General features: G+C 44.7%; 1 protein-coding gene and 1 long non-coding RNA gene across 4 annotated transcripts in view, besides 1 other annotated feature; one reads left to right on the top strand and one right to left on the bottom strand.

Moving 5' to 3' along the window:
• Nucleotides 1–22176, top strand: part of NGF (nerve growth factor) — a 52333-nt gene extending 30157 nt beyond the window's left edge. Inside the window, exons 1-3 of one of the 3 annotated variants that reach the window (XM_011541518.3) lie at nucleotides 4635–7696; nucleotides 14343–14466; nucleotides 21286–22176. In XM_011541518.3, the coding sequence (XP_011539820.1) occupies nucleotides 7668–7696; nucleotides 14343–14466; nucleotides 21286–22023 (891 nt within the window). In that variant the 5' untranslated portion in view covers nucleotides 4635–7667 and the 3' untranslated portion in view covers nucleotides 22024–22176. Of the gene's footprint in view, nucleotides 1–4634; nucleotides 7697–14342; nucleotides 14467–21285 lie in introns of those variants that run through there. The other 2 variants (NM_002506.3, NM_001437545.1) reach the window with 2 other exon arrangements.
• The window catches only part of NGF-AS1 (NGF antisense RNA 1), an 85039-nt gene extending 59980 nt beyond the window's left edge, over nucleotides 1–25059 (bottom strand). The window contains exon 1 of the long non-coding RNA NR_157569.1: nucleotides 24853–25059. This is a non-coding gene — a long non-coding RNA (NGF antisense RNA 1). The remainder of the gene's footprint in view (nucleotides 1–24852) is intronic.
• Nucleotides 6925–8124: an enhancer, noted in NCBI's record as "BRD4-independent group 4 enhancer chr1:115842590-115843789 (GRCh37/hg19 assembly coordinates)". NCBI's record gives its function as "activates an origin of replication core promoter dependent on BRD2, P300/CBP, MED14 and CDK7 cofactors, and independent of BRD4, by STARR-seq in HCT116 cells {active_cell/tissue: HCT116}" and the evidence as "EXISTENCE:reporter gene assay evidence [ECO:0000049][PMID:35650434]".
• Nucleotides 25060–27632: the final 2573 nt, after the last annotated feature.

The raw sequence follows: 27632 nt of genomic DNA, 5'->3' as shown, positions 1-27632 counted from the left end.
TTTGGTTTGGGGTTTTATTAATGACAGAGAATGTGATTAAACAAAGTTTATACTGTAACTAACTCCAGCTGGATCCAAGCATCAATGGGAAACCCCAATTCCCCTAATGTTGTCCTTGTGTCCTTTCTACTCACAATTTCTTTTCCAAGGCATTTTCTCTGAATCTGATAATGGTGAGGTCATACAATCTCATTTATTTTAAGAGACAGTCTGGCACACCCAGCCCAGTGGCCCTGCAATGAAGGACTTTTGTGTTGGAGATGCTGTGAGCCTTTGGAAATGGCCTTATCCTAACCTATGAGATGAAATCACTGTATCATTCTGCCAAGGCAATGTTATCACTGGGTTTGAGCTTATATTTGAAATGTTTCCAGCAGAAATCATATTCTAATAGACTAAATTGAAACATCAGCATGAATAATCTTGTAGGACTACCAGAAGCCAGTTCAGTGAAATCTGGGTTCTTTTGGTAGAGTTGTTGCTTATTATAAAATGGCTATGATTACCTATTCCTTGGACTTTTTCTCTAGGGAAATTCAGGAATCACATCTCACCAGCACAAGCTGAGTACTGTAAGTCTGCTTGTGATTTGTGCAGTGATTTCTTCCTCCTCACCAGAGCTGAGGTTGAGATTATCTTCAAAGTCTTTTCTCAGTCTCTGTCTCTTTCTCTGGTCTTTCTCTCAGCTTCACTCTCTCTTGCTGACATTGCTCCTTTGCCCTCTGGATCTCCCTCCACACCCTCCGTTGCTTTCTCCACTCCCCTCTGTTGTTTTCCTGCTTCCCCCACTTCTCATTTACTCTTTGCTCTCATTCTCTTACTCCCCTCCTCTCTCAATTGTATCCCACTATAGCTCCAATGTTCTCTTCCTACTATTTCAGTTTTCCTCTACAAATAGCATCAGGTTTCCTAAGGGTAAGACAAATCCCAGCTCACTTAGTTTGTTCCAGTGCCTATAGGTTTTGGGGTGGTCTCATTCCATCTGTTCAGGACTCATCCATTCATGCCACCACACTCAACAAGCTCCAAGCTGATGGAAAATGACACAGCCATTTCTCCCTCTGTCCCTGACCTGGGCTTAGCCCCAGGATGGCTCCTAACGGGAATCAGCAGATCCAGCATCAGGGCCAGGGCCATCAATCATCGGTACCAATATTGTCAGATACCCCATAGTGCCCAGTGGTGATAGGGCCAAACTGCATAATTAATGGCCATGGTGTGCCCTTCTGATGTGTCTGCAAAATGTCACTGTTACCCTGTAGGTGACAGCCATTGTTCACTGATGAAGAGCCTTCCTCTAATTTGCACCATCATACTCACTATTCTTGAGAAGCTAAAAGAAGATGGTGGCTTTATCTCTTTTAAAGAGAGTTTCTAGAGGCAATGGGCTGGTGGGCTAGAGCAACTTCCAGAGTTGCACCCAGTGCTTGCAATGAAAACCACCAATTTGCTGTATACATAGCAACATAATTCCTAATATTAAGCTATCTACTCAACTCACTATGGCAAATCAGAAGATGGTTCTTTCTCTTCTGGCTATGTTTTTTGTAGTGTGAGATTTTTATTATTCTAGAAAGAGACCATTTCACCTGCTAAAAATGAAAGCAAATGTCTTGCCTAAAACAAACAAACAACATACCACTGATGGTAACTCAACCTCTTCTTTTTTGCCTTGTGATTTACTTCTGTTATATGAAGCACTCACTGCTGAGAGCATGAAGCCTGGACAATTGAATCCTGATTGAGCAACTCACATGAATTCTGGGAAATAAAGTCAACAATTCACAAATTGAATCCACTTCTGAATGTTCATCCACCAAGGACTCTTGACATTCGATCTCTTTGCATTTCTGCTCAATGTTTATTGCTTTCCACTCGTCCCTCAAACCATAGTCTTTGCTTGGTAATTTCTTGTTTTAGAAAGTGACAAACAGACCAAGCAGAGAAAACACTGTATGTTTTGGACTAAAAATGAAATCATTAGGGTAAGTTTCTATTCTTGTCGACTGGAATTTTACTCTAGTTTTGTTTAAGCTCAACAAAGATATTATATTTGATGCTTTCCTGTAAATGTATGAGATGGTTTGCTATTGCATGTCCATGAATGGAAATATTAACAGTTTCCATTTGGCTCCATCGGCCTCTGGCTTGGTATTCACACCCAAAAAACCAATCAACAGAGAATCACATCCTCAGCCCAGAGTGAATAGTTTCTGTCTTGCCTGCAGTTTTTCTTCACAGTCTCAGAATTAAGAGTAAGTCTTATCCAAAATGCATAAAATTAAATAGAATAGCCACATTCTATTTCTATAAATTTCTCAGTAAGGAACAACTTCACATTTCTAAGCATCTATCTTTCATGGCTACATTTCTATCAGATTAGTGGGTCCTTCCAAAATCTCTTCCTTGGTGGTTAGATTACTTCATGAGGAGGGAGCTCCCTCAAGGGTATAAACAAAGAGAATGTCATGACAGATAAGTAGAGAAGCCAAGATATTTTACAAACTCAAAAGGGTGTGCTGATTTTTTAAAAGCAATCAGGTATGTTCAAGCATAGAAGATGCACAGAATCCCACCTATACATTATCCATATCATGGAAGCGGAAATCAACACTCAGAACAAAACCCAGAGGGTGGAACTGTTGCTCCCTTGAATTGATCAGTTTTTTGAGCAGTGCAGAGTAGGGTTAAAAAGGAGTGAATTGCAGAGCAAGGGACCTGGGCTGTTGTCCATCATGCCACCCACTCAACAGTGTGACCTTCTACTTCCCCACAGCACTACTGAGGTAAAGTTTCCTTATCTGTCAAATGAAGAGGATACTAACCTCAAAAGATTTTTAATGAGTATTTTAAAAGGAAACAAATATATATAAAGTGCTAGTATAGTGTCTGGTACATAATACATAATACATGTTATTGAGTATTAGTGGTAGTAGTTGTATTCTTTTCTAACCCACAGTTTATGCTAATGGACTAATTAACATATTTTAACACACAATATTATATTACATTTAATTTCATACATAAAATATAGGTCATTCTATCCTTATTAATACTTCTATTACAGCCTAAGGTGGAGGCCGAAGAGGACTCTTGGGGATTTCTATCCTATCCCTGCCTTTTCTTCCCACAAACCCAAACTCAAACTCACAATTTTGGCATACTTACCCTAGTGACCCAGCAGTCACTAGGAGCTCCCCACTCAGTCTGAACCAGTGGCTGAGGAAAAAAGAAGCTGTCTAGGCCTCCTCCTCAGACAGCTGTCCTGCCACTTCTCCCGCTGGGGTGGAAGGGCCAGGAGACAGCTATGCTCAGGGCCTGGCCTTTAACTCCCAGAACTCCTCTCTTACAAGTGGGAGTCGTTGCTGCCATGGAATTGGACTAGCCAGAGGGGTGCCTCCTTCTGGAGGCTGAGAGGAGAGGTCAGAAAGGGTGTTCCCTTCTTTTGGAGGCCTAAGCACAAAGTCCACTTGTCTTCAGATGTGAAGAAATTGAAAAACTCAACATGGTCTGCAAAAATTGTGCACCTACCTTTAATAGATTGCATCAGGCAAATGGAAGAGCCTGCCTCATTTTGGAGGACGAAGGTACATAATTCCTTACCTGGTTTTAAAAATATGGCCAGGCGCAGTGGCTCACACCTGTAATCCCATCAATTTGGGAGGCCGAGGTGGGCGGATCACCTGAGGTCAGCAGTTCGAGACCAGCCTGGCCAACATGGTGAAACCTCATCTCTACTAAAAATACAAAAAAAAAAAAAAAATTAGCCAAGCATGGTGGTGCGCTCCTGTAATCCCAGCTACTCAGGAGGCTGAGGCAGGAGAATTGCTTGAACCCAGGAGGTGGAGGTTGCAGTGAACTGAGATCATGCCACTGCACTACAGCCTGGGCAAAAACTACATCTCGAAAAAAAAATACTTGTGTGTGTATGTGCACCTATCTATATATAAATGTTCTTGTGACCATTACAGGTATTGCTCTTTTGAGATAATTCTAAGATTTATCAAGGTCTAAACTGAAAAATTTTATAACCAACATTATTGGAAACACAAAGCTGACAAAAGAAAAGAAAAATCTCAGGAGAAAGAAAGGAAAAAAACAGCCCCAGAATGAGTGCTAGAAAATAGTATAATGAAATATATGGGGAATCAGGAATATTGATTTCTAGACCCCACTCTATTCACCACTCAGTTGGAGGTTATATGGACCTACACAATTCATTTAACTACTCCATAAGAGACTAAATGACCTCAAGGCTCAGCTATCTTCTGCCTCTGGTGATTCTACTGATGGCCTATGAGGAGGTCTTGGAGAACATTGGTCAAACTTCCATGACTCCAAAGTTCTTTAACCCTTTGGAAGTGATGGGGATGATGATGATGGTGATGATGGTGGTGATCATGATGATGATGTTAGTAATAGTAATGGCAGTGTTGATGGTGGGGATGGTAATCATGGCAATATGTTGGAAGTGGTAATGCTGGTGGTGGTGGTAGGATGTTGGTGGTGAGGAAGTGTTGGGGAGGATGGTGATGATGATGATGACGGAGGAGGTGGTAGTGGTGATGGTGATGGAGAAAGTAGTGGTGATGGTGATGGAGAAAGTAGTGGTGATGATGGTGATGGAGAAAGTAGTGGTGATGATGGTGTTGGAGGAGGTGATGGTAGTGATGGTAATGGAAGAAGTGGAGGCAGTGGTGGCGGTAGGGGTGGTGGTGGTTGTTGAAGATAATGCTGCCATGCTCTATGGATCTAAATTCTATACTTGACCTATCTAAACGCTGTGATAGATTTCAGAAGTGAGCAGAGAGGGAGAGCACTTAGGTCCTGGGACTTAATGAACACAGGTGCACAGAGAGCATTGGTACTGGTCTCTGCCCATAAACATCACATGTGCCTTTTGAAGTGATTCTTCTGTTTGGGACAGTGCAGGCAAAACATACATGCTCAGGCAGATACACAGTGTTCTACTGGTTGTGAAATTTTTGGTGTTTGTTTGTTGGGGTTTTTTATTTCTTAAATTTTAATTTATTTTTGTTTTTTATTCCTCCAAAGTTTGAAGCCTTATTTTGAGAATACAGGAATCAGGTCTGTGGAAAGAAGGAAAAGTTGAAATAGCTAAAAAGAAAGCAGGGCTGAAAGTGGTGGACACAGATGAGGGGACACAATACAGGGAGATGACAAAGGGGAAAAGCATCCTCACACACACGAGACCAAACTGTGGTTTAGGCAGAGCTTAAAAGTAACTGCCAATGCACAACCACACAGGATAGGTACGTGGCCCTGGGACAAAAGGTGAGAGCTGGAGCCAGGCCTGGTGGCTGCGGCACAGAGGGAGCTGTGGCAGTCAGTCTAGCGCCCACCTTCCCGGGGACAAAAGGCGACACTCTCTAGACCAGACAAGGCAGAAAGAGTCCCTGGAGGGCCTTTGAGGTGCAGCTTCCTTTACAGACAGAGGCCTGCTGCCAGAAACTCGGCTGATTCACAAAGAAAGAAGTGAAATGCTAACAAATGGTTTCCATTATCACCGTGCAGTCTCCACCCTCATTCTGTATGTGTGCTGTGTTTTTTTCTTTCTTTTTTTCATCTTTTCATGGGTTGTAACTAAACAATGAGGTGATTGCCATCCCAGTGGATTGCACAACATAACCAGCGGCTGGGCTGGAGCATAGCCTTCTCCAAGGAAATTCTGGACAAGAAAAATGAACAAGCTGGAAGTAAGGAGGATGTCTGTTTTGCACAACACCTATGTACACTTTTAGTGCTCATAAAGAAGGTGGAACGAGGGTCTTAGATTCTTAGTTCCTCTGTGGCGCACCTGTCAGCCCACCAGTGTGGCACTCTCCTTCTTAAATAAAACACTACATAGCCAAAGTGAAAGGGAGGCTCACCCAGTTATCCAAGAAGGTGAATTGGGACCACTTGTTATTTCCCAGTATAACATGAAATAATGATTTACTTGGGTTGAATAAACTGGCGCAGCTGTGGGAAGAGTCTTCAATTCCTTTCAATAAACATTCATTAAGTGCCTACACTGGGACAGCCCCACGGATAGAAATACTCCTAAGACCTCAAGAAGTTAATCCAGCAGATGCCTAAACTTGTCCCAAATCCCTGGATAACCAAGTATAAATTTGATCATGAGGATACCATCCATGTTGTATTCTCCTTGTGATTCACTTTTTCTGCAAGGCAGCAATTACTTAAGCAAAGATGCTATTAACTTTACAGTGCCTGGCAAGTTTTCGTGATAGCTAAACATTGCAGCACCCTGATGAACACAGCCATAGCTGGAGCAGCTTCCTCCCTCTGACTGCGACATGGCTGAAGAAAATGGATATTTCAAAAACAAACGTTTCAGTTTGTTACTCAGCATCTTTGTTGGCAAATGATTGCAGATAATCGCCCCACAGCTGCAGGCTGAGCGTTCTACAATTGCTCAGTTCCACTGAGCATGTGCATGGCCAGCCATTCCAATCACGACTGGGACACAAAGCGGCGATTTCTTCCTGCCAGAGAGGGCCAGATGGGGGCATGGGATGAACAGGAGGCATCACTTTCTCTTCTGCACCCAGATCTGCCAGTAACTAGCTGCCTGATTCTGGCCAAATGTCTTTAATGATATTAATAAGAATAGCTGATATTTATGTAGCACCAACTAGATGCCAGGCACTGTGCTAAATGCTCATTCAATTTAACCCTCTCAATAATCCAATATGGAGGGTATAACGTTTTGATTTTTGAAAGAAGATGTTGAGGGGCAGAGAGGTTAAGTCTCTTGCTAAAGATTGAGAAGTGCGGTGATTGTGTGGTGATTGAGAAGGAAAAATGTCTGCCCTCATCTCTGGAATTTCTAATTACTCACAATGTTCTGGGTCTCTAGAGACAGATGCTCTCTGTGGGTCTCTCGTTAGCTCCAGAGTAAATTTCCCCAATGCAGACTTTTTATTTTGTTCATGTTGTCATTATCAAATCAACCTTAAAAGAAGAAACACTAAAAGACTGGGAATATTCTGAAATATAATTATATGAGAACCAAGTGACTTTAGAAAGGACAGCAGGTTTTCATCTCTCCTGACCTTTCCTCCTGAGATAATGAAAGAGCTAGATGAAACTCCTTAACATAAGCTCGAAAATCCCTGTCAAATAGCCCTTCATTAGAGTTAACCACCCTGATGGCATTCCAGCATTCCCCATAAGTCATATGTGTTACTGCATAATAGGAGCCCATGTGGGACTAAGATAGTTAAAGCCATGCACAGGAAGTAGCTAAAACAGCACAAAGCCCCCTGACAAACACACTCATGGAAGTAAATTCTTCATTTCCAGCTCTTCGCCTCAGGTTACCTAGGATTTGCATGTGCTGCATGCCTGGGCAAAGCTGGGCTGAGTTATCTCTTTCATGCCTTGAGTCAGATTTTCTGGGTGTGAAGTCAGCAGACAAGCCAGGAAATGTCACTGCAGAAGAGCAAGGGAGCTCAAGACGCGATGGCAGCTGTCACTCCAGAGTGGTGTGGAGTGGGACGGTATCTGATGTGTCCTCAGATTCGGTTTCCCTTGGGATGTGTTTGGTGCTGACTGCTTGTGATCCATGTTTTCTTGGATGCAGGTTGGTAGAGGTGCAGCAATTTTTGCAGTGAAACTGAAGTCCAGCTGCTCAAACAGAAATGGCCTCATCTAATGGACACTTTAATGAGTAAGGGTGGCATTTTACTCGAATCCTTACATTCAAGTCCCATGACTCATCCCTTATCCCTCCTTAATTGAAGGATGGACTGCCTGCCTTTTTTAAAGCACTAGAATCCCCTGTGTCAGTTAAGCCAGTATATTTCCTGGTCTTTTTCAGGGCTATGAATCCTTACCTTGTCTTAATTTCTGAAGTTACATCTGAATCGCATTATAGTCTTATGTGTTGTAACATTTCTTGACCTATTGCTTAGAAAACATACCACACACTGAGAGGAAAAGGCTAGCTCAAGAAGAGCCGAGGACATTCAATCCTATAAAGCAAATAGAATAAAGGGCTTGGATCTGAGTGTTAACATTCACTGGCACCGTTTTGTTTTCTTTCACGTGTTCAATCCTAGGTGGTCATTCAAGGTCTGCAGTAGCCTGGAGACTCCATAGGTGCTGTTATGATTACATGCGAACCTTGACTCCATAGGTGCTGTTATGATTATATGAGAACCTGAGAGTCATTGTTCCCAGTACCGCTGTCTGCTATTAGTCCTAAGTATGGGAACAACGGATCAGCGAAAGGCCAAAAGCATCACTGAAATAGATTTTTGTGTGTGTGGTTTAAGGATTAGCCAGTTGGAACCAAGGAGATGTTTTCTTAGGGTCTCAGAAAAGTTTGAAAAATTATTGGATTGTTTTTGGCACTCAAATGTAGATTATAGATGTATTACTAGTATTACTAAGCTGAGGGGCTATACTACAAGGACTATTATTTAGCCCTACATTCTTGCAAAAATATTCTGCCCTCAACTCTGTAACAGAAGGCTGCTGTGTGTTTAGATGTCTTATCTTCCACCACATTAATGTTGTTGTAATTACCCACACTTTGAAAACCTCCCTGGGGTGTGGGCCGTCATACAGCTCATGAATTCCTCCAGTCAGGTGAACATGCAGATTGTGTTTCGCCACACACAATAGAAGGCCACTCTCATTCATAGCAAGTGCCCTTTGATTCTCAAGCTGAGGTCAGCCAACCACAACAACTTCTTCCTACCTACAGCTGTCTGACTCTCTGGGGAAGTGCTAGAAAGGGTTTTGTGGGAAATTTACCCACAAATTTCCCAAAGAGCCATAGGACCATTTCTTTTTTAAGAAAATTGCCAGGGCACTTTAGAATTGTCAGCATTGAAACTTTTCATCAAAAAGAATAGCAATTTCACTGAACCTTAACGTCTTCCTAAGTCCTTGGTACCAGATGTATTATTTTCCTATTGGATGTGCCAAAACCACTAGATAGTTAAACACATCAAATCATCTTGAAATGGCCAAAGTTGATTTTTCCCTCAAAAAAGAGCTCCTTCTCAGCAAACCTCATATTATATTTCATACTAGAAAAGATTTCAAATTCCTTTTCCTGTTGTGCACAGACTCAGGGTAAGGACTAACAGAGAGATGGGAGAATTGAGGGGAATGGCTACAGCCAGGAAGATCACAGTAGTCACACCAACAACTATTCTTATTTCCTCAACAACACATCCTTAATCTAAGACATTCCTAGTGAGTTTCCCTACTCACAGAGCTCTCCTGGGTGGAAACTAGGAGAAAGGGGGCTGTGGCTGCCCTGGCATCTTCAATGTAGTGATCGATTTGGCTATTACCAAATAGTGGGTTGGCCTATCATTAAGTCCAAGGACCATGTGCTGAAATTTTTAACACCAAAGATTTAGGGACACTTGGCCAAAAAGACCTCTGGGACCAGTCCTCCCATGTGCTCCAAAGCAATGGCTAGTCCCAAGAGCAGCTTGCACTACATCAAAGATACCAGGGCAGCCGCAGCCCCCTTTCTCCTAGTTTCTGCCCAGGAGAGCTCTGTGAGTAGGGAAACTCACTAGGAATGCCTTGGATTAAGGACATGTTGTTGAGGGTATAAGAATGATTGTTGGTGTGATTGCTATGATCTTCCTGGCTGTAACTATTCCCCTGAATCCCCTCTCTCTGTTAGTCCTTACTCGGAGTCTGTCCACAATGGGAAAAGGAATTTGAAATCTTTTCTAGTATGGAATGCAACCATGAGGTTTGCTGACTAAGAGTTCTTTTGGGGGGAAAAAATCAACTTTGGCCATTTTGAGATGATTTGATGTGCTTGGTAATGGCCTTAATAATGGTCAATAATGGGCATTGCCAGAGAACATTTTAAGTGGCATGCAAGGAGTAAAACAAACAAAAACCTTCCAATTCACAAATGTCAATTATATCTAGACAACTGGGCGTGGGTCAGGCAGGAGAGACAGGGACAACATTCCCCAGAGGGTTTGTCAACTATATTTTCAGACCTTCTTGTGGCTTATAATGTGACCACACCTGAACTTTATGTTTTCTGAGATGTATTAATTTATTGATAATCTCTCTTAATTACTAGCTTATCAAAAACAATTCCAAGCTTCCCATTCACCCTGTGCACCTAGGGCTCCCAGCCCTGGCTTTATATTGGGATCACCTAGGGAGCTTTACAAATTCCTGATGCCCAGGCAGCACTCCAGGTCAATGAAATCAGAATCTCTGAAGGTGAGACACAGGCAGCAGGAGTGTGGAAAGCTTCCCAGAAGATTCCAAGCTACAACCAAAGTTGAGAACCACTGCTACAGAGGATTCAGGGACAGTAGAAAGGGGGAGCCAGTGAGGTAGACAGAATGTCCCACAAATTCTGAGTGTGGAGGGATTAGGGGGATGGTGATTGACAGAGTTATCAGGTTTCAATAGCTGTGGCTAAGGCCCATTAGTCCTTGAAAAACGATCAGCAGAGGCACAGTTTCCTTAAACTATGCATTGATTGAATTTTGAACAGTTCGCCATTAATCAAGTTTCATGGCTGAAATTGATCAAAATATTATTGATTAACCTCAGGGGTCTTAAAAAGAACCCTCTCTCCTCTAGCTCTACCAGGCTCGGGGTTGGTTGGACATGGGTTCTGAGATGATAAGTCCTAGGAGTATGGTCCAGAAGAGGGAAGAAGCCCACAACATAACTTTGGCTGTTATATGGAAAGTTACATTCAAGCAGGTGGTCTACAGCAGTGGACTGGCTCTGGGTTGGCGCTTTGTCTTTGCACTGGATACTTCACCCCATGAGGAGGAACAAGGTGGAAGCCCTAAAGCAATGGTTCTTAAACTTATGTGACTATCAGAATCACCTGCAGAGCTGGTTAAACCGCAGATTGTTGTGTTTCATTCCCAGTTTCTGATTCAGTAGGTTTGTGGTAAAACCCAAGAATTTGCATTTCTAACATGTTCTAAGATATTACTAAAATACTACTATGGAATCACACTTTGAGAACCACTGCTTTAAAGCATGAAACCCAGGACAGGACAAGCTCTAGAAGAAGTACATCAGACTTTATTAGGATTCCTTTGTGCCCTGTAAGAAAGAATAGAACATGATCCTTAAATGAGCTGGGATTTATTTCCATGCATTTATCAAAAGTGTGAGAGCTGATTTCTGTTTAAGTGATTACCCTATGAAAACAGACAGGGTTTTAAAAATAGATATGCATTTGGGTTGTTTGTCCCAATGCCTTTGCATTAGAAATTTGTAATATTTAAATTGGATTTAATTTTAGAGCCTCAACCTTCATCAGCATGAGACTAAAAACAATGACAACAATATCTATAAAAATCATTTAGAGTTTCATTATTGTGGACAGAGAATTTCTCTCTGCAGTAGTAAACTGCTTATATCAACACAGAATAAGACAAGGCCAAAGGCATAGGAAATGCTGGACAGAGTTTCAAATATAGCAATCAGACATCCAGATGAGATTGGCAGGAGACCCTGGCCCTGGCATGCACCAAGGTGACTTGGTCCAGAAATTGCAGATACAGAGCCAGGGAATCTATTGTGGTTGGCTTATAGTAGACACCCGAAGAATGCAGATCTTCCTAGGAATTGTGGAATTTTTTATTTAAACCAAACTTCCCTCTTCTTCTAGTCATCCAAATTGGAGGCCATCCTAGCTTGTAGTGGAATATCCAGAATATTTCCTGAGAAAGTCACTATTACTTCTCTGGTTGCTCCACTGATTAAAAGCGGAGGCTTTTTGTGTCCTATAGGAAGACGTTCAGTGGGCAGGCCCCAGAAGTGGGTACTGCAAGTCTATTAGCACCTCCTGATGTGTAAGGCCCATTCTATACTCCTCTCCCCTCCCCTACTCCTCTTGCAATGCATGGTGGACCTCCACCCAGTTCTTGAACTCTGGGGCCTTTCCTTCCCTTCTTCCCTAATGAGCTCCTATTCATCCTTAAGAACCCTGCTCAGATGTTACCTCCTCTATGAACATGTCTCTAACTAGTCTGGCCAGATAAAACCAATTTCTCCTTCCACTGTGTTTTCATATCATGTCACATATACATCATACTTATCACACTGTACTTTAAATGTTTATTTATATGCATGCCTTTTCCTATCTCTAGATTACTTGCTTTAGGAAGTTAAGTATTATGTCTTATTCTCCTTTGTGTCCCTAGCACCTAACACTTAAAACAGTGGCCAGCACAGGACCTGCAAGTTTAAGTGTTTAATTAATGAAATAAATGAATCCCAATTTTGGGATGAGAGAAAGCACTACTTAAGCATCTAGTAGCAATGCAGCCTGGAAAACATTCAAAGTCACGGAATCTCAGATGATCAGAGCCAAAGGGGACCTTAGCTGTCATCTGTGCCAGCTTCTTATCCTATAGAGGAGAAAGCTCAAAGATGAACTGAATCTCCTTCTATACAGGAGAAAGCTCAGAGTGAACTGAATCAGAATGCAGGTGTGTGGGTTCCAGCCTGCAACCTTTCAGGTTTAGCCAAACACCCAGATGAAGGGTTTATGGACTAGACGAAACCATCTTCCCATGAGTAATGGGACCAGATAATGCCCACCTCTTACCCTGGGGACACGCCATTCTCCCTCTCCCATGCTAACTCCAACCCTGGGAGAGCATGAAAATGTTCTTTGTCACAGAATGTAACCTTTTAAAGAGTGTCTGAGTATGCATTTTCATCACTAGCCTTCAACCCCAATTGAGTATTGAAAGGTTTTTCTGGTACTTTCTGGAGCAAGAAGACTATTTTGAGCAGGATGGGAAAGGAAGAAGAATGGAGACATCCCAGGGCTTAATTTCATGATTTCTAGTAACTTGAAGATCACTTTAGAGGTCCTTGCTACCTCCCCATTCTCCAACTCCTCTTCGTGGTTGGAATTTGGGGAGCGATGGTGGCTTTTCTGACATTTGCTTTCATAGCACAAGCTGAGAGGGAGTTGGATGAAGATATGTGGTGGGGATCCATGCTGGAAAAAGATATCACAGGGAGAAGATTTTTTTGAAGTTGAAGAGAGAATACGGACAGGAAAGTTAAGATGTCATTCTAGAACTTTATTGGGAGGGCATCTCCACCCTACAACAAATTCTGTGATGGACATAATCATTCATTCATTTATCCGTAAATATCACCCTCTTGTTCAAAGCCCTCCACTGCCTTCCTAATATCCTGAGGATAAAACCATAGCTCCTTGCTGTGTCTCTGTAGACCTGGCTCTTCCTGGCTCTCCAGCTCATTTTCTAGGTCTCGTTACTTCATGCTCAGAACCTTTGTCTTGTTTCTAGCTCAGGGCCTTTGCACTTGTTCTTGCTGCCTAGAATGTTCTCTCCCTCATTCCTTCTCATCCTCCAGATCTCAACTTGAAGGCCATCTCCTCAGAGCTCCTCGCTGAGCGTCCTGTCTACAGTGGCCCCTCGATACATCCTGCAGTTGCTCTCTATCATCAGACCCTGTAATTGCCTTCATGGCATATAAAGAATCTGGAGATATCTTGCTTATTTACACAACACTGTAAGCTCCATGAGAGCAGAGGCCTTGTTTGTCTTGTTTACTGCTGCTCAGCACCAAAAACAGTGCCTGGCACATAGTCGGTGCCCAGAAAATATTGTGAATGAATGATGTGCCTACATAGATTACATTATAGAAGTGAGAGGAGAATAGAAAACTTCCATTGTTTCTAGAAACTACAGCCTAAAATTGATTTTTTAAAATTGTATCAGCTCCATAGCTTCCAATCCTAAAATCTGCCTTTCAGTGTGGTACTCTGAGATTCCTGTCTGATTCTGTGAGAGCTCCACATTCTCTCTCAAATGGTCAGTCTGTCTTATTTGTCACCATTACTCATCTGCATTTTTATCAAAGCACCAACTTGCTCTGAATTGTCAGGGATTTTGCGTCTGTATAAGGTATTTTAGGCTGGTTCAGAGTTGGATCTGTTATGTCTGCATGTGTAATGTACTGAACAATTTCTATTTTGATGCCAGATTAGGGATCTGCTGGGGCAAGACTTTGGCATGTGTCTAGAAACACCTGCACTAGGTGCAAGATCAGCCATGGACTGTGTCCAGGCTGAAACCAAAAGGTATGGCGCAAGAGTGAGAGGCAGGTGCCACCACAGGACCATGAGAGGCCAAGCTCCGGTAAATTTTGGTAGCCAAATTCTAGCTCCTTCCTGGGCCTTGATGCTGGTAAAATCCCAGAACTCAAGGAAATGGAATTTGTCCTATTGGCACATGCCTCCCCACTGTGTAGGGCACAGGGAATGTGGTGAGGTACAGTCTAATGCCAGCTCTCCCCCTCCACAGAGTTTTGGCCAGTGGTCGTGCAGTCCAAGGGGCTGGATGGCATGCTGGACCCAAGCTCAGCTCAGCGTCCGGACCCAATAACAGTTTTACCAAGGGAGCAGCTTTCTATCCTGGCCACACTGAGGTAAGTGCCTAAGGGACCTTGGCCTTGCCAAGGTCCTCCCTCTGCAGCTGCCAGAAGCAGGAGTCCCAAGTGACAGGACCTGAGAGGGCAAGTCAGAACCAACTGCTGAGCAGCAGGGGCCTAGAGAAGCTTTCAGTGGTGCAGCAAATGCAGCTCCCCTAGCCCACTCAGGAAAGGAAATCTTTTGTGCATGCAGGTTGGCCCCATGGGCCCCAGGGACATATCAGGAGTCTGAGCTGCATCAAGGGTCTAAAGTTGCCGAACACAGGACCTCGAATAGACAGCGTCAGTCAGACCCTCCACACAACTCTCTGGTCCGACTGAGCAGGGAACTTGCAAAATGGAAGGTTCACAGCCACTCTTTGTGCCCTTCACCAGTGGAGTAGAGGGGTAGGGAAGAGTTCCAAATCTGCACACAGGAGGTGTGGCTCCGAGTTCCACTTCTGTTTGCTGTGTACCTGTGATGCAATTACTTAATCTTACTACATCTCTGGTTTCTCATTGTTAAAATAGGAATAATATGGCCAACCTCCCAGGTTTGTGTAATGGTTAATTAGAAAATTATACCCAATAAATAATAATTACTATTATCTCAGCTCATTCATGTCAAGGTATGTCTTTTAGAATTCAGATCAGTAGATTTGGTTCCCATTAATGTATCCAGCACAGCTGCCCTCCGAGAGCCCAGTGACCCCACAGGCGCTGGTACCTGCTAGTGTTTTCTGGTTGCATATTTCTATCATGGGCATTTCAAGTGCTTTTAGATCAAGTCTACACGGTGCCCAGAAACCTAACAAAGCAGATATGAAAACAATTCAATATCTAAATATTCCCTAATATCTGGATTTATGGCATCAGGAAGGTAAAACTTACAATCTGTTGAATGGAATTTTCATTTCGATGTTGGGGGATGAGTATACTCACCCCACCACCTATCAGTTACAGTGTGCATACGGCTTCAGGCCTCTCTCCTCTAAAAGATAGCAAAGCTGAGCTCAAGTCAGGTGTTCACGGACTGGCCCTGCCACTCACTGGCTGCAAAAGCCCAAGTCACTTAGCCTCTCCAAGGCTCATTTTTGTCTTCTACAAAGTTAAAGAATTAGGCTAGACTCGTGGCTCTCAAAATATGGTCCCCAGACCAACAGCATCAGCATCATCTGGAAACTTACTAGAAATGTAGATTCTTAGTGTCCTCCTACCAGACCTACAGAATCGAGCATTCTGGAGATGGGGCCCAGCAGTCTATAGTGTAACAAACTCTCCAGGTGATTCTGATGCCCTGAAGTTTGAGAGCCTCTGGACTTGAATCTCTGATGTACCTTCTAGGCCATGCCTCCTCCCAATAAATCCTGTCCTAACAGAAGCTCTGGATTTTACTCTGTCGATGCCTCTCTCTGTTCAGCCCACCCCAGGACACCTCTGAAGTACCTTGCTGGAGAAATGAGGAGCCACAGAATTCCTCCCACACTCCACACCAGCTCCAACCCCCAAGAGTATTCGAGCCTTTACAACTGAAGACAGCAGCCAGTTAACATTTAGAGTGAAGGCCAAGCGTAAAACAAGAAATGACCCTTGGCCCACTCTCAGAATGTGGCGAATGAGATGGAGGAGGAGGAGGCTGGATTTCCTTGGCCACAAGAATTTCCTCTCTCACCAACTGTTAGTGACCCTGGTTCACGTATCCCATCTCTAGCCCAAGAATCACTCGTGGCTCTTGGCATGGCTGTCTCTAAGACAGGAATTCTCTCACTCCCTTCTACAACACATCTCCCCAGGCATGGTTGCCAAGCCTCCCAGTGCCATCAGCCCTCCTAACCACAAATATTTGGGCCAGTTGCTTAGCTCTGTTCAGCAGCTCCATCACCTATTCAGGTGAGGCCAGAATCTTTGAAGATCATTCACCTCGTGCGAGAAATTTATCCTATTATTGGAGTGTGTGAACCATTGGAAATCCACAGAATGTATCGCTGGTTCAGAAGAGGGCAAGAGGGCAGGGCAGCCCATCAGTGGCTGGTTGTAAAGGCATCCCAATGGGCTGCCCCACTCTTAGTCATGGATCTTCCATTCTAGGTAGGAGTAGGACAATTAAAGAGCATTCTCATATTAAATAGAACATGTTCGTTCATGTGAGCCCCTAACTGCATCCTCCTCAGCTGATCATTCAGCTTGCAGAGCTCTGCTTAATAAAGCCAGACAGAAAGCTGTCATCTGTTCAGGAGAAAGGCTTCAAAGGGTGTTTTTAAAAAATAAATAAATAAAACTTCTCCCCTGGTTCACATCAACCAAAAATAAAAAGAATGTTCTTTTCTAAATGGTGCATTATATCACTAGAATAGAAAATGCACTCAATTTTTCTTTTATCTACTGATCACTTTTAAGAGAGTTTTTTTTTAAACTTAAAAGTTTATAGGAACACACTCTCATGAGTAAATTAAATATTTTTTTAAAAAAACTTTAAACCTAAAATCTAAATGAGAGATATATTTGAGACATTTTCAAGTCTTAATGAAACATTCTGCCTGTGATACAAATCTCCATTGTGATTAAATGTGATACCATTTGGTATCTTGACTGTGAGTGGAAAAGTAGTGTTAGAGTGTAGGAACTTTGTGAAGTCAGTTCAGTCAAACCAGCAGATGCAAGGCAGGGTAGAAAACTTCATAATTACCTGAAATGAAAGAATATAATGGTTGGAAGATACCTTTAACATCATCATGCAGATGGAGAATTAAGGAACACTGGAGGCAGGAGACTTGTCTACATACTCACAGTTTCTTAGAGGAGGAGTTACCTAGGAGTTCTAGGTCACCTGGGGGCAACAAAGATGAGTAGGACACTTTGCTGCCTACAGGGAGTTTGTCCTCTAGAAGGGAGGATAAAAGAATACAACAGCCCTAAGAGAATATAAAGGGAAGGCTTTAAGAGATAGAGAAGGGGCAGGGCGTGGTGGCTTACGCCTATAATCCCAACACTTTGGGAGGCCGAGGGGGCGGATCACGAGATCAGAGATCAAGACCATCCTGGCCAACATGGTGAAACCCCGCCTCTGCAAAAAATAGAAAAATTAGCCAGGCGTGGCGGCGTGTGCCTGTAGTCCCAGCTACTCAGGAGGCTGAGGCAGGAGACTTGTTTGAACCCAGGAGGCAAAGGCTGCAGTGAGCCGAGATCAAGCCACTGCACTTCAGCCTGGGTGACAGAGCGAGACTCCATCTCAAAAAAAAAAAAAAAAAAAAAAAAAAAGATGAGAGAAGGTAGTTTGTCTCAGAATTAGAAAAAGCTCCCCAGGGGAAGCAGCATTGAAGTTGTTGAAGGACAACAGGAAGGATTCCACCAGCAGAGGTGGAGAGCAGAAAAGGCCCTGAGAGGGTAGGGGAGCATACCTGGAAGGGAAGAGTCTGAAAAAGGGCAGTGGTGGGGAAGCTCAAGCAGGAACTGCCCCCAGGAGTTTTGTGCACTCGGAATGCAAACTATGTGAGGGGAGTAGAAGGAGGCAGGATCCCATTGCCAGGCAGAGCAGTCCCTACTGGCTTACAGACAAGGGACTTGGCACCAGCTCCTTTGAGCAGGGTGATATGATCAGAGCAGGCTTTAAGAAGCTAAATGGGGTGGCCAGGGATAGGAGGAATTGGAAGAAGAGAGATGAGGGTCCAGGATATCAGGTGGGAGACTGTTCCCATGACCTGAACTAGGGGCCCAGAGATGAGAATGGAAGATAAAATACAGTTTCAAGATAATGCTACCAAACCAGAACCAAAAGGGCTGGATGGAGGTCAGGGAGGAAAAAGCAGAGGGATAAGCAGAGGTATGGAGCTAGTGGATGAATGAATGATGGTTCCAGTAACAGAAAAAGGAAACTGTGAAGAAGCGTGTTTAGGGAGATGAGGAGAGAGGATCAAGAGAGATGGTAGCTGTGAAACTATCATCAAATGGTCCAAAATGGGGCTGTTGCTATTGTATGCAGAGAAGGAAGATGGGGAGAAGATGATCCTAATTATGATTATGAGTATGAAGATTTTTGTTTTGGATGTCTTGCATTTAAAATGCCAGTATCTATGGAGAATTGCCCTCAGGAAGCAGGAGGGCAGAACTAGCTTCAAAAGACTAGTTGATTCGAGATCCAGGTATGGGAGTCAATTGCACAGAAATTTCGATGGGCTCCTTAGAAGAGGAGGAGCCCACCAAAGGAGAGACCAAGAATGAAGTGGGAACCTCTGGTAATGGGGAATAGGGAGAGGTATGTCCCTTATGTCCATCGAAACCCTTTTATTTAGTTAATTTCATTTTCCTCTTGAAATTCTAGCAAGTGTTACTAATTTGGATATAAGGGAATGAATTTCAGTTTTCTTTCTTCTCCTTTAATGTATCTGATAAGAGATATTATGTACCGAGAAGAACAAAGAAGTGAAACATGAAAAGGAGCAAAAGTAAAAGGTTTAGATTTGCTGCCAACTGAATATTCAGTCCGCTAAGAGTTGACCGGACATTTATCTGCAAGACCATTAGCCAACAGATCTGGTAATGGTCAAAACCCCAGATATGCCATTGCCTCCTTTGCATGGTCAGCTGGAGAACTGGAGCAAACAGAAACATTCTTCAAAGAAACCAAAGAGAAAAGAATTTGGTGATTTCCTTCTTGGTATCTCACCAAAGAGCTGTCTATTTCCAGCTGAATAAAAGCACAGTATGGAGGAGAAGAATGTGTTGCCTTAAAACAGATTAGAAAAGCAGTGTGTAGCCATATGCACAAAGGCCAAAAGAAACCACACACTGTGATGGAAAGAAGGCAGATGGTGAGCTTCTCTTGCCACTCTCATTCATTCTTTCTTTCATTCATTCTCCTTAAATTTTTTGAGTACCTACTACATGCCAGACACGGCAACTGGCCCTGGAAATATTGAAATGCAAATTGTGCAGCTTGCAAAGCCCTCTCAGGGAGACAGACAAGTTAATGATTATCCACAACCCTAGGAGAGGTGATAGGGTTATGCACAAACTGCTGTGGAATACAAGGGATGGAGTGCCCAGATACACAAGTGGATGAGACACGGCTCCACCCTCGAGTATCTCACAGTCAGGGTGAGACAATAAAAATGGCTTTGAAGGAGGTCTGAGAGAGGTAAAACCAGCAGTAGAAAGCACAAAAGACAAAGTCCTTGACCACAAGGAGACAGAAATAACTCATGATTTACACAAATTTTGTGAGAACCTACTTCATCCTAACAACTACTCTGGGAGATAGTGTTTTTTGCCCACCTCCGATCAATGGGAACGCTAAGGCTCTGGGAAATTAAATGGGTTTCTTCTGCTAACAAGTAGTGGAGTAGGAATCCAAACACGATTTTCTAACCCCCAGACCCAATGCAGAGTTCTTGTCATTACACTGATTTAGTAGGAGAGAACACACACACTCACACTCACATGAACACACACATATGCACATACAATTACGCTATTCTGAAGTGCAGAATGGCAAAAGATCATTTTTGATTGGAGTGATCTGAGAAGGCTTCGAGGACTAGGTCGTATCTGTGTGGAAACGGAGCAGAATGACCCATAAGAGTGGGAAGGAGAGATGGGAGAAAGGATAGAATTGGAAGTTTGTAGAGCACTCTTACAAGAGATATTTCTGATCCTACCAGGAAGATCTATGGAAGCTTTACAGAGGAGCTGACGTTTGCTACACATCTACAAGTATGCATAGGAGCTCCGCGGAGGCCAGTGAGAGGCCCTCCAGGAGCAGAACTAATTCCACAATTACTTGACCAAGTTGGGGGATTATTTGTGGGGTAACTGCAGTGCAGTATGGAGTCCTCTTGGGGACAGTTAGAGCCATACCATTTGATCTATAGTCACATAAGAACAAACAATAAAAAGAAAAGACATGCTTAAGAGTGAAAGAGAAAGGGAGGGAGAAAAGAAGGAAGGGTGGATGGAAGGACACTAGCTTAGTAAGGGGTCAACTTTGGATTCTATTTCTGGTTCAGTTTTCATTTGTGACTTCAGTGCTTTAGTGTTAGTTCATTTTCTGTGAATCAGTTTCCTTATATGTGAAATAAATATGATAAATCCTAATTGAACTCACAGACTCATGAGAAGATAGAAGTGAACACATTTTAAAAACATCACACAAAGAGGAACTATTATGTGGTCCACATTTATATATGTGGGGTAGCGTCTGAAGAGGTGCCTGGACTAAGATGGTCCCAGAGCCACAAGGTTTTTGCCAAACATGACGCTTTGTGAATTCATAACAAGGGCTCCGAGTCACCAGATCTTAGAGCTGACCCAGTGCACTGTCTGAAAGGGGGTACCCAGTTCTGAGGCTTCAAGACATGTCCCCAGCAGATCTTCCCCGTGCCTTCCCAGAGGATTCAAAACTGTTGAGCAGGACGGCACCATCACATCAAGGCACAAGTGCCAGGGAGAGATGTTAAACTCTCCCCACCGGCCTCCCTGGTACACACATGGACACTTACCACCTCCCTCAGCCGCCTTAAGCTTCAGAGAACTCAAAGGACTCTGTAAGTGATGTCTCCAAGCTCATATCGAACTACTGGGCAAAATTTCAGGGGCTCTGTCACTTCCTGGAGAAGCTCGGATGGGGTGACCACACATCCATACTGCCTGAGTCAGCCCCGGGTTACGCCTGTTGTCCCGGTATAACCATTGCTAGCACACCCTTTCCCTCTCAGAAGTGCCCCGGTTTGAATGAAACCTCTTCGTGATCCCCTTGGGAGGTCAACTCTGAGGGACCCAGAAACTGCCTTTTGACTGCATTTAGTACTCCATGAAGTCACCCTCATTTCTTTTTCATTCCAGGTGCATAGCGTAATGTCCATGTTGTTCTACACTCTGATCACAGCTTTTCTGATCGGCATACAGGCGGAACCACACTCAGAGAGCAATGTCCCTGCAGGACACACCATCCCCCAAGCCCACTGGACTAAACTTCAGCATTCCCTTGACACTGCCCTTCGCAGAGCCCGCAGCGCCCCGGCAGCGGCGATAGCTGCACGCGTGGCGGGGCAGACCCGCAACATTACTGTGGACCCCAGGCTGTTTAAAAAGCGGCGACTCCGTTCACCCCGTGTGCTGTTTAGCACCCAGCCTCCCCGTGAAGCTGCAGACACTCAGGATCTGGACTTCGAGGTCGGTGGTGCTGCCCCCTTCAACAGGACTCACAGGAGCAAGCGGTCATCATCCCATCCCATCTTCCACAGGGGCGAATTCTCGGTGTGTGACAGTGTCAGCGTGTGGGTTGGGGATAAGACCACCGCCACAGACATCAAGGGCAAGGAGGTGATGGTGTTGGGAGAGGTGAACATTAACAACAGTGTATTCAAACAGTACTTTTTTGAGACCAAGTGCCGGGACCCAAATCCCGTTGACAGCGGGTGCCGGGGCATTGACTCAAAGCACTGGAACTCATATTGTACCACGACTCACACCTTTGTCAAGGCGCTGACCATGGATGGCAAGCAGGCTGCCTGGCGGTTTATCCGGATAGATACGGCCTGTGTGTGTGTGCTCAGCAGGAAGGCTGTGAGAAGAGCCTGACCTGCCGACACGCTCCCTCCCCCTGCCCCTTCTACACTCTCCTGGGCCCCTCCCTACCTCAACCTGTAAATTATTTTAAATTATAAGGACTGCATGGTAATTTATAGTTTATACAGTTTTAAAGAATCATTATTTATTAAATTTTTGGAAGCATCCTGTGTGCTGATGCTGGTTATTTTTTTTGAGTAAAATCATCTGCAAGTCTGAGGAAGATGCAGGGGGAATTGTCTGAAGCACCCCCTGGCTCCTTCTAAGGCCCACCTGTAACCCTTACCCCACCCCCAGCCAGTGCTGCAACTTCAGGAAAGGCTAACTGGTTTCAGATATTAGCCTAAGCCAGGCATGATTAGCAAAGGAAGCCTGCTGGATTGCAACTTTGTTCTACATTCCAGAGCCAAAGCTACCTAATCATTGGATTACCTGCCCACGGCCTGGAAGCATGGGCCCTGGTCTCCTCCCTTGGAGAAGTTAGTGGAGCCTCATCAGGAGGCAGATCACCACTGGGCATGGGGCTGCCCTGGCCTCAGAGGCACAGTCTCAGTCCTGGGGGCACTCGATAGACAGGAAGAGGCTTGTACCAAAGATCTGTGAGCTGCTCATTTGTAGAGGGAGATGTGCTGTCTGGAAGAGTTGTAACAGAGTAATCTCACGAGGCCTGTCAAAGTAGATCTGGTTTCATGTTCAGCTGGCCTTAGTACTCGTTTTATCCCTCAGCAGCCTCCTGCAGAAAGACTTCATTACCCCAAGAAAACATTAGTGCCTCCGACACTCTTGCAACCCACTAACAGCCACAGTAGCAACTTCCAGGGGCCCCACCATCAGCCCACAGCCAGGGAAGCCAGAGACGGGAGAGAACTTCTGAAAATATTTTTATTCTTAATTGGATGATTTCCATAAGTGACCAAAGGTGACTGGGGCCGTGGGACCTGCAGAGAAGAGGGTGGGGCAGAAAGACTAAGTAAATGGAGTAAGAACCAAATAAACCTGGAGATGTGGAGGACAGGTGGGCCGGCAGGAAACCACGGCTTTCTGCTTCTCCCAAACAGGGGAAATGAAACAAGGATGACAAAGAGAAGGCCAGAGGTGGATGTGAAGAAGGGGAGGGGAGGACAGAGCAGGAGGAGGAGGGAGGTGTGATCTCTCATCTTTACCAGCACTCTCCAGCCTCCAGGAAAGTTAGCAACCTGGGTGGTTCTTGTGGGGCTTTTTGGATGTGCTAATAAACACTGACTCCATCCAGAGCATCTTAGGAGTGAAGGTGACAGAGGGACTCCAGGGTTCAGCCTGCAGCAGGGCTCCACCCAGCCTCACACGACCCCCTTCCCCTGCAACTTTCATTTTGTATTTTCCTTGAAGCCACAATATTCCCCCAGACAGAGCACTTATATTAAGACAGAAAATTTCCCCTCCTATCCATCCTGTCTCCCCCCGAGGATGAAATGCCTACACTGGTTTTCAAGAGAACAGGCCCAAATTGTCCATCCGAGAAAAGAGCAAATGGTCTTATTCATTCCCTCTGTAATTCTCGCTGTCCGGCCCCACCTCCAACGCCATCCAAATAGGGCAAATTAGAAACGTAGGGAGCTTTGGCATGAGAGCCATTTGATTAGGGTAGAAGTATGATGAAATGTGCCCTGTTTTTTCTATCAGAGCCACTGCAATTGGAATAAAGGTTTATGCTCAAGAAACACCAGCTAGAACATTCTGTGCTGAGATTCTAAGTGAGATAAAGGCCTCAGGGAGGAGCCCTCCCAGTGATCTGTGTCTGTGACTTTTACTGGGGTCCAATGCCAGTGGTCTCAGCCGTCCTAGGTGCCCCTACAAAGTTTCTGGGTGGCTTTTTTTCTCTTAGGACTGGACTTTGGGCCTGGGATGTGGGGAGAGGAGTGGAGAGGGAGGCCTTCAGGAAGCTCCCCATCAGGAAGGTTGGCTTGTGAGCAGCTACACCAACAAAGAGGGTCCTGGAGTGCTGCCCGCGGCACTGCAAGACACTGGGACATCTAAAAAATGTCTTTGGCTCCCCTGGGCAGCCGAGAGGGAGGACCGTCTGAGGGAGCACGAAGGCTGAGGCCCTCACTTCCATGTGGGCTGCTCTCCTGCGTGTCCGGTAAGAGGAGGGCCCCTCATCCCAGGAACACCACCACCTTCCCAAAGGCAAAATCTGCTCTAGGCGGAAACACTGGAGTCCCAGCGTGGGAGCCAATGTTTTCACACAATATAAGGGATATCAGTTTGGCTGATCGGCGTCGGAGCCTTCCAAAAACAACCCCGCGCCCGGTGGTTTCCGCAGCTTGGGCTCTGCTCCCACACACGGAGGGGAGCCCTGGCTTTCAGACCCACCCGGGCTGCCCCAGAAAGGCTGACCGGGGTCGCCAGGGCCCCAGCCACTTGAACACCAAGAAAACAGCTTCAAACCGCCCACTATACTCTGCTGAGGAGCGGCAGCAGCACATTTTGCAAAATTTTCCTTCCTGTGCCTCACTGAGATTTTTCTGCCTGGGTTCCCCAAAAGCCCAAAAGGTGAGAGCAGATCTGACTCCTCTCGGCAACTTCGTTTGGTGGAAGGCGTCCTCCACCACGCCCAAGAAAACTAGCGCCGGCCCTGGCTGTCCGCCCTCCTAGCAAGGCTCAGGCCCCGGCCTGGGAGACCGCAGGGTGCCTGACTCTGGGGTACACTCAGTTGTCCCTCTGACGCCCTCCAGCAACCAGAGCGCCAGCCTGACCCCTTCCCTGCTAATAGAAAGCCCACCATGGGGACAGAGTTTCAGCAACAACCCAGCAGCTATTTTCATTTCCGTGAATCAGGAGTGTTCCTCCTAAAAGCCTTACCACTTTCTCCTCAGCATCATCCACATCATGGGAGGAGGATCCGCCCAGAGCTGGAATAGAGGACAAAAGGGCACCCGGGTCTCGTGTCCGCCCTGTCCGCTCCTTGGAGGAGAGACAGCTGGGCAAGAGAAGCGGAGCCGAGTGGAAGTGTGGGCTATGGAGAACCCAGGGGCCTGGGAGTCTTTCTCGCACAGGCCTGAACGGAACAGTGGGAGGCAACGGGTGCTCAGAGTTGAGGTCATCAGCCAAACCCAGCTCCGAGGGAGCAGCCCAGTGTCATGGTACAAACTCTGGGCTTGGTGTCAGCAGAGCTGGGTTCTGGCCCCAGCTCCCCCATTTCTATCTGTGAAACTTTGGCAAGCAGCAGTTCCTCTTTGAGCTTGGTTCTTGCAGCTGTGAAATGAAAATAATCATTCCTATATCCCAGAGTTGTGAGCATGAAGCAAAACCAAGTATTTGAAAGCAAACAGTCCAGTCCTATGCAAGTGTTAGGAAAAGTAATTTATTCCAAACTTAACCATTCCTGTGTTGATTATAGGAGAGAAGCAACTATGTTGGTGCTCACTAAATGTTTGTTTATTGGCACATGTATGGATTGGATAAGGGAAACCCTCTGGTCAGTGGACATCATGGAATATAGATGTGGCATAGCCAGGCCATGATAGATAGATAGATAGACAGATAGATAGATGATTGATAGATAGATAGATAGATAGATAGATAGATAGATAGATAGATAGATAGATCAGGCATAGCCTGCTTTTACCAGGAGGTTAAAAGCAAGAATGGCAGCTATTCAGCTTCAGATGCCTGAATCCGGGTTCAGATAGGCCACCTGGATTCTAGTGATTCCAGCATAATGGTAGGCTTTGGAGTCAAACAAGTACTTCTGCTAAGGCTGTGTAACCTTAAGCAAGTTGCTTAACATCTCTGACAATGATATATGGAAACTCTGACGATTTCTTCATCTGTGAAATATGGATGATAATAGTGCTTTTCTCAGAGGGCTGAGAGATCATTTAATGAGATAATACACATAAATATACAAAACTACCTAGCACTTAAGAAGTGTATAATAAATTTTCGTTTTGAAAGGTAGATTAGCTGAGAACCCCTAAAAGGATGTTGGAATAGTGGAACAACTTTCCACAAGGCAAGGAAGATTATGGACAGTTTTATAGATGTATCCTAGGTTTATTCCATGACAAGCAATGCTAATAGTGACCTTAGCGTTTATTAAGAGCTTGGTATGTTCAAGGCATCGCACTAAGCACTTTATGTGGTTTAGCTCAGGTAAGCCTCTGGGTTCTAAGACAAAAGACTATCTTAAGGCAAGTGTCGGGGAAGGCTGTGCTTTCTGCTTATGTGTATCAATGCCAGAGAAGTGCTCCACAGTTCCCTGGGATGTGTTTACTCCCCCAGCTCTTGGTAAGTTTATAAACCATTGGCTCTGAAAGTTTCCATGTGTCAAGCACGTGGGATCTGTTTTGCTCTAATTCACTTGGGTTTGCAACTGAAAAGCTGTTACCTTCCCAAAGTTCACCTGGGTGTGTGAAGATGGCTCAGGGGGTCCAGCGCCAAGAGTAAGTTGGGCAAATCTTCCCTCCACCACAGCAGCCTGCAGAGAATCCCTCCAACCCAGGGATGCTCCTTAAAGTCAAGGATGCAGCACATCTGTGTTTCTTCAGCACCTGGACCCAATCTTGCATGTGGCAGGCAATCAATGTCCTAAGGAAGGGAAGACAGAACTTAGTTTCCATCTTTTTCTCCATCCCCACCATCCACAGCCTATCTCCTCCTATCCCCGCACCTACCTTGTGTTAGCCATAAATGCGTTAATGGTCTCAGTTGAAAACAGGGTCCTCCCTGAGGCATGTGACACATCTGGGTAATTTTCAGAGGCTGGTATCAAGAGCAAGATCAGACCATCAGGGATAAAGCCTGGCCTCACCCATAGCTTGGCTGAGTGACACTGGACAAATTACTTCTCTCTCTGCACTGCAGTTTTCTTACATGTAAAATGTAGGTGAAAATAAGAGAACCTACTTCATTGTATTGTAAGGCATTTGGTCCAATGTTTGGTACATAATAAATCATTGTATATGAAACATATGTAAATATACAGTACACACAGCTACATATACATATATGCACAGAAATAGACACAATATACAAACATACACACACAAGGATAGTGTGTGTGCTTATGTGTGTGTGTATATGTGTGAATAACCCCTGGAAGCTAAGAAGCAGCCAAGAAGTGCACATTCTACACTCACATGCACCCACCCACTGACTTAAAAGCACAGTGCAACATACAAATCCATCCAATAAACATTCTAAACAATGGCTACAGTAGTAAGAAGTAATCCAATGGAAAGAGTAAGCCAGGAAAGACTTCCTGGAGGAAACGATTTTGAACTACGTGCGGAAAATAAGTTGAGTGAAATTATTGTCCTGTGCTGAGACTTACTCCAGAATTATGAACAAGGTAAAATCCAACCAAGAGGCTGCCCAGCCCCAATGGGAGAGAGACCGCTAATAGAATTGAGAGTCTCTGTCTGTTCTCTCACTTCATTCTGAGCTACAACTGGCAGAGGAGTTAGTTTCTCCTGCAATTACAGACCTTAGAAGAATTCAGAGAATAACCCTGTGAAATCCTGTAGGAAGACACAGTTAAAGTCCCCATATGGTTTTCACAAAATCTTGTCTCTGTTAAGACCAAACACCAAAGAGCTGGTCAAATATCTTCCTGAAGATGGGGCCTCCTCCAGCCATAT

Source organism: Homo sapiens, chromosome 1, assembly GCF_000001405.40.
Source record: "Homo sapiens chromosome 1, GRCh38.p14 Primary Assembly".
Taxonomy (NCBI): domain Eukaryota; kingdom Metazoa; phylum Chordata; class Mammalia; order Primates; family Hominidae; genus Homo; species Homo sapiens.
The sequence above is the reverse complement of the archived record's forward strand: the minus strand, read 5'-3'. Positions and strand labels throughout refer to the sequence as shown.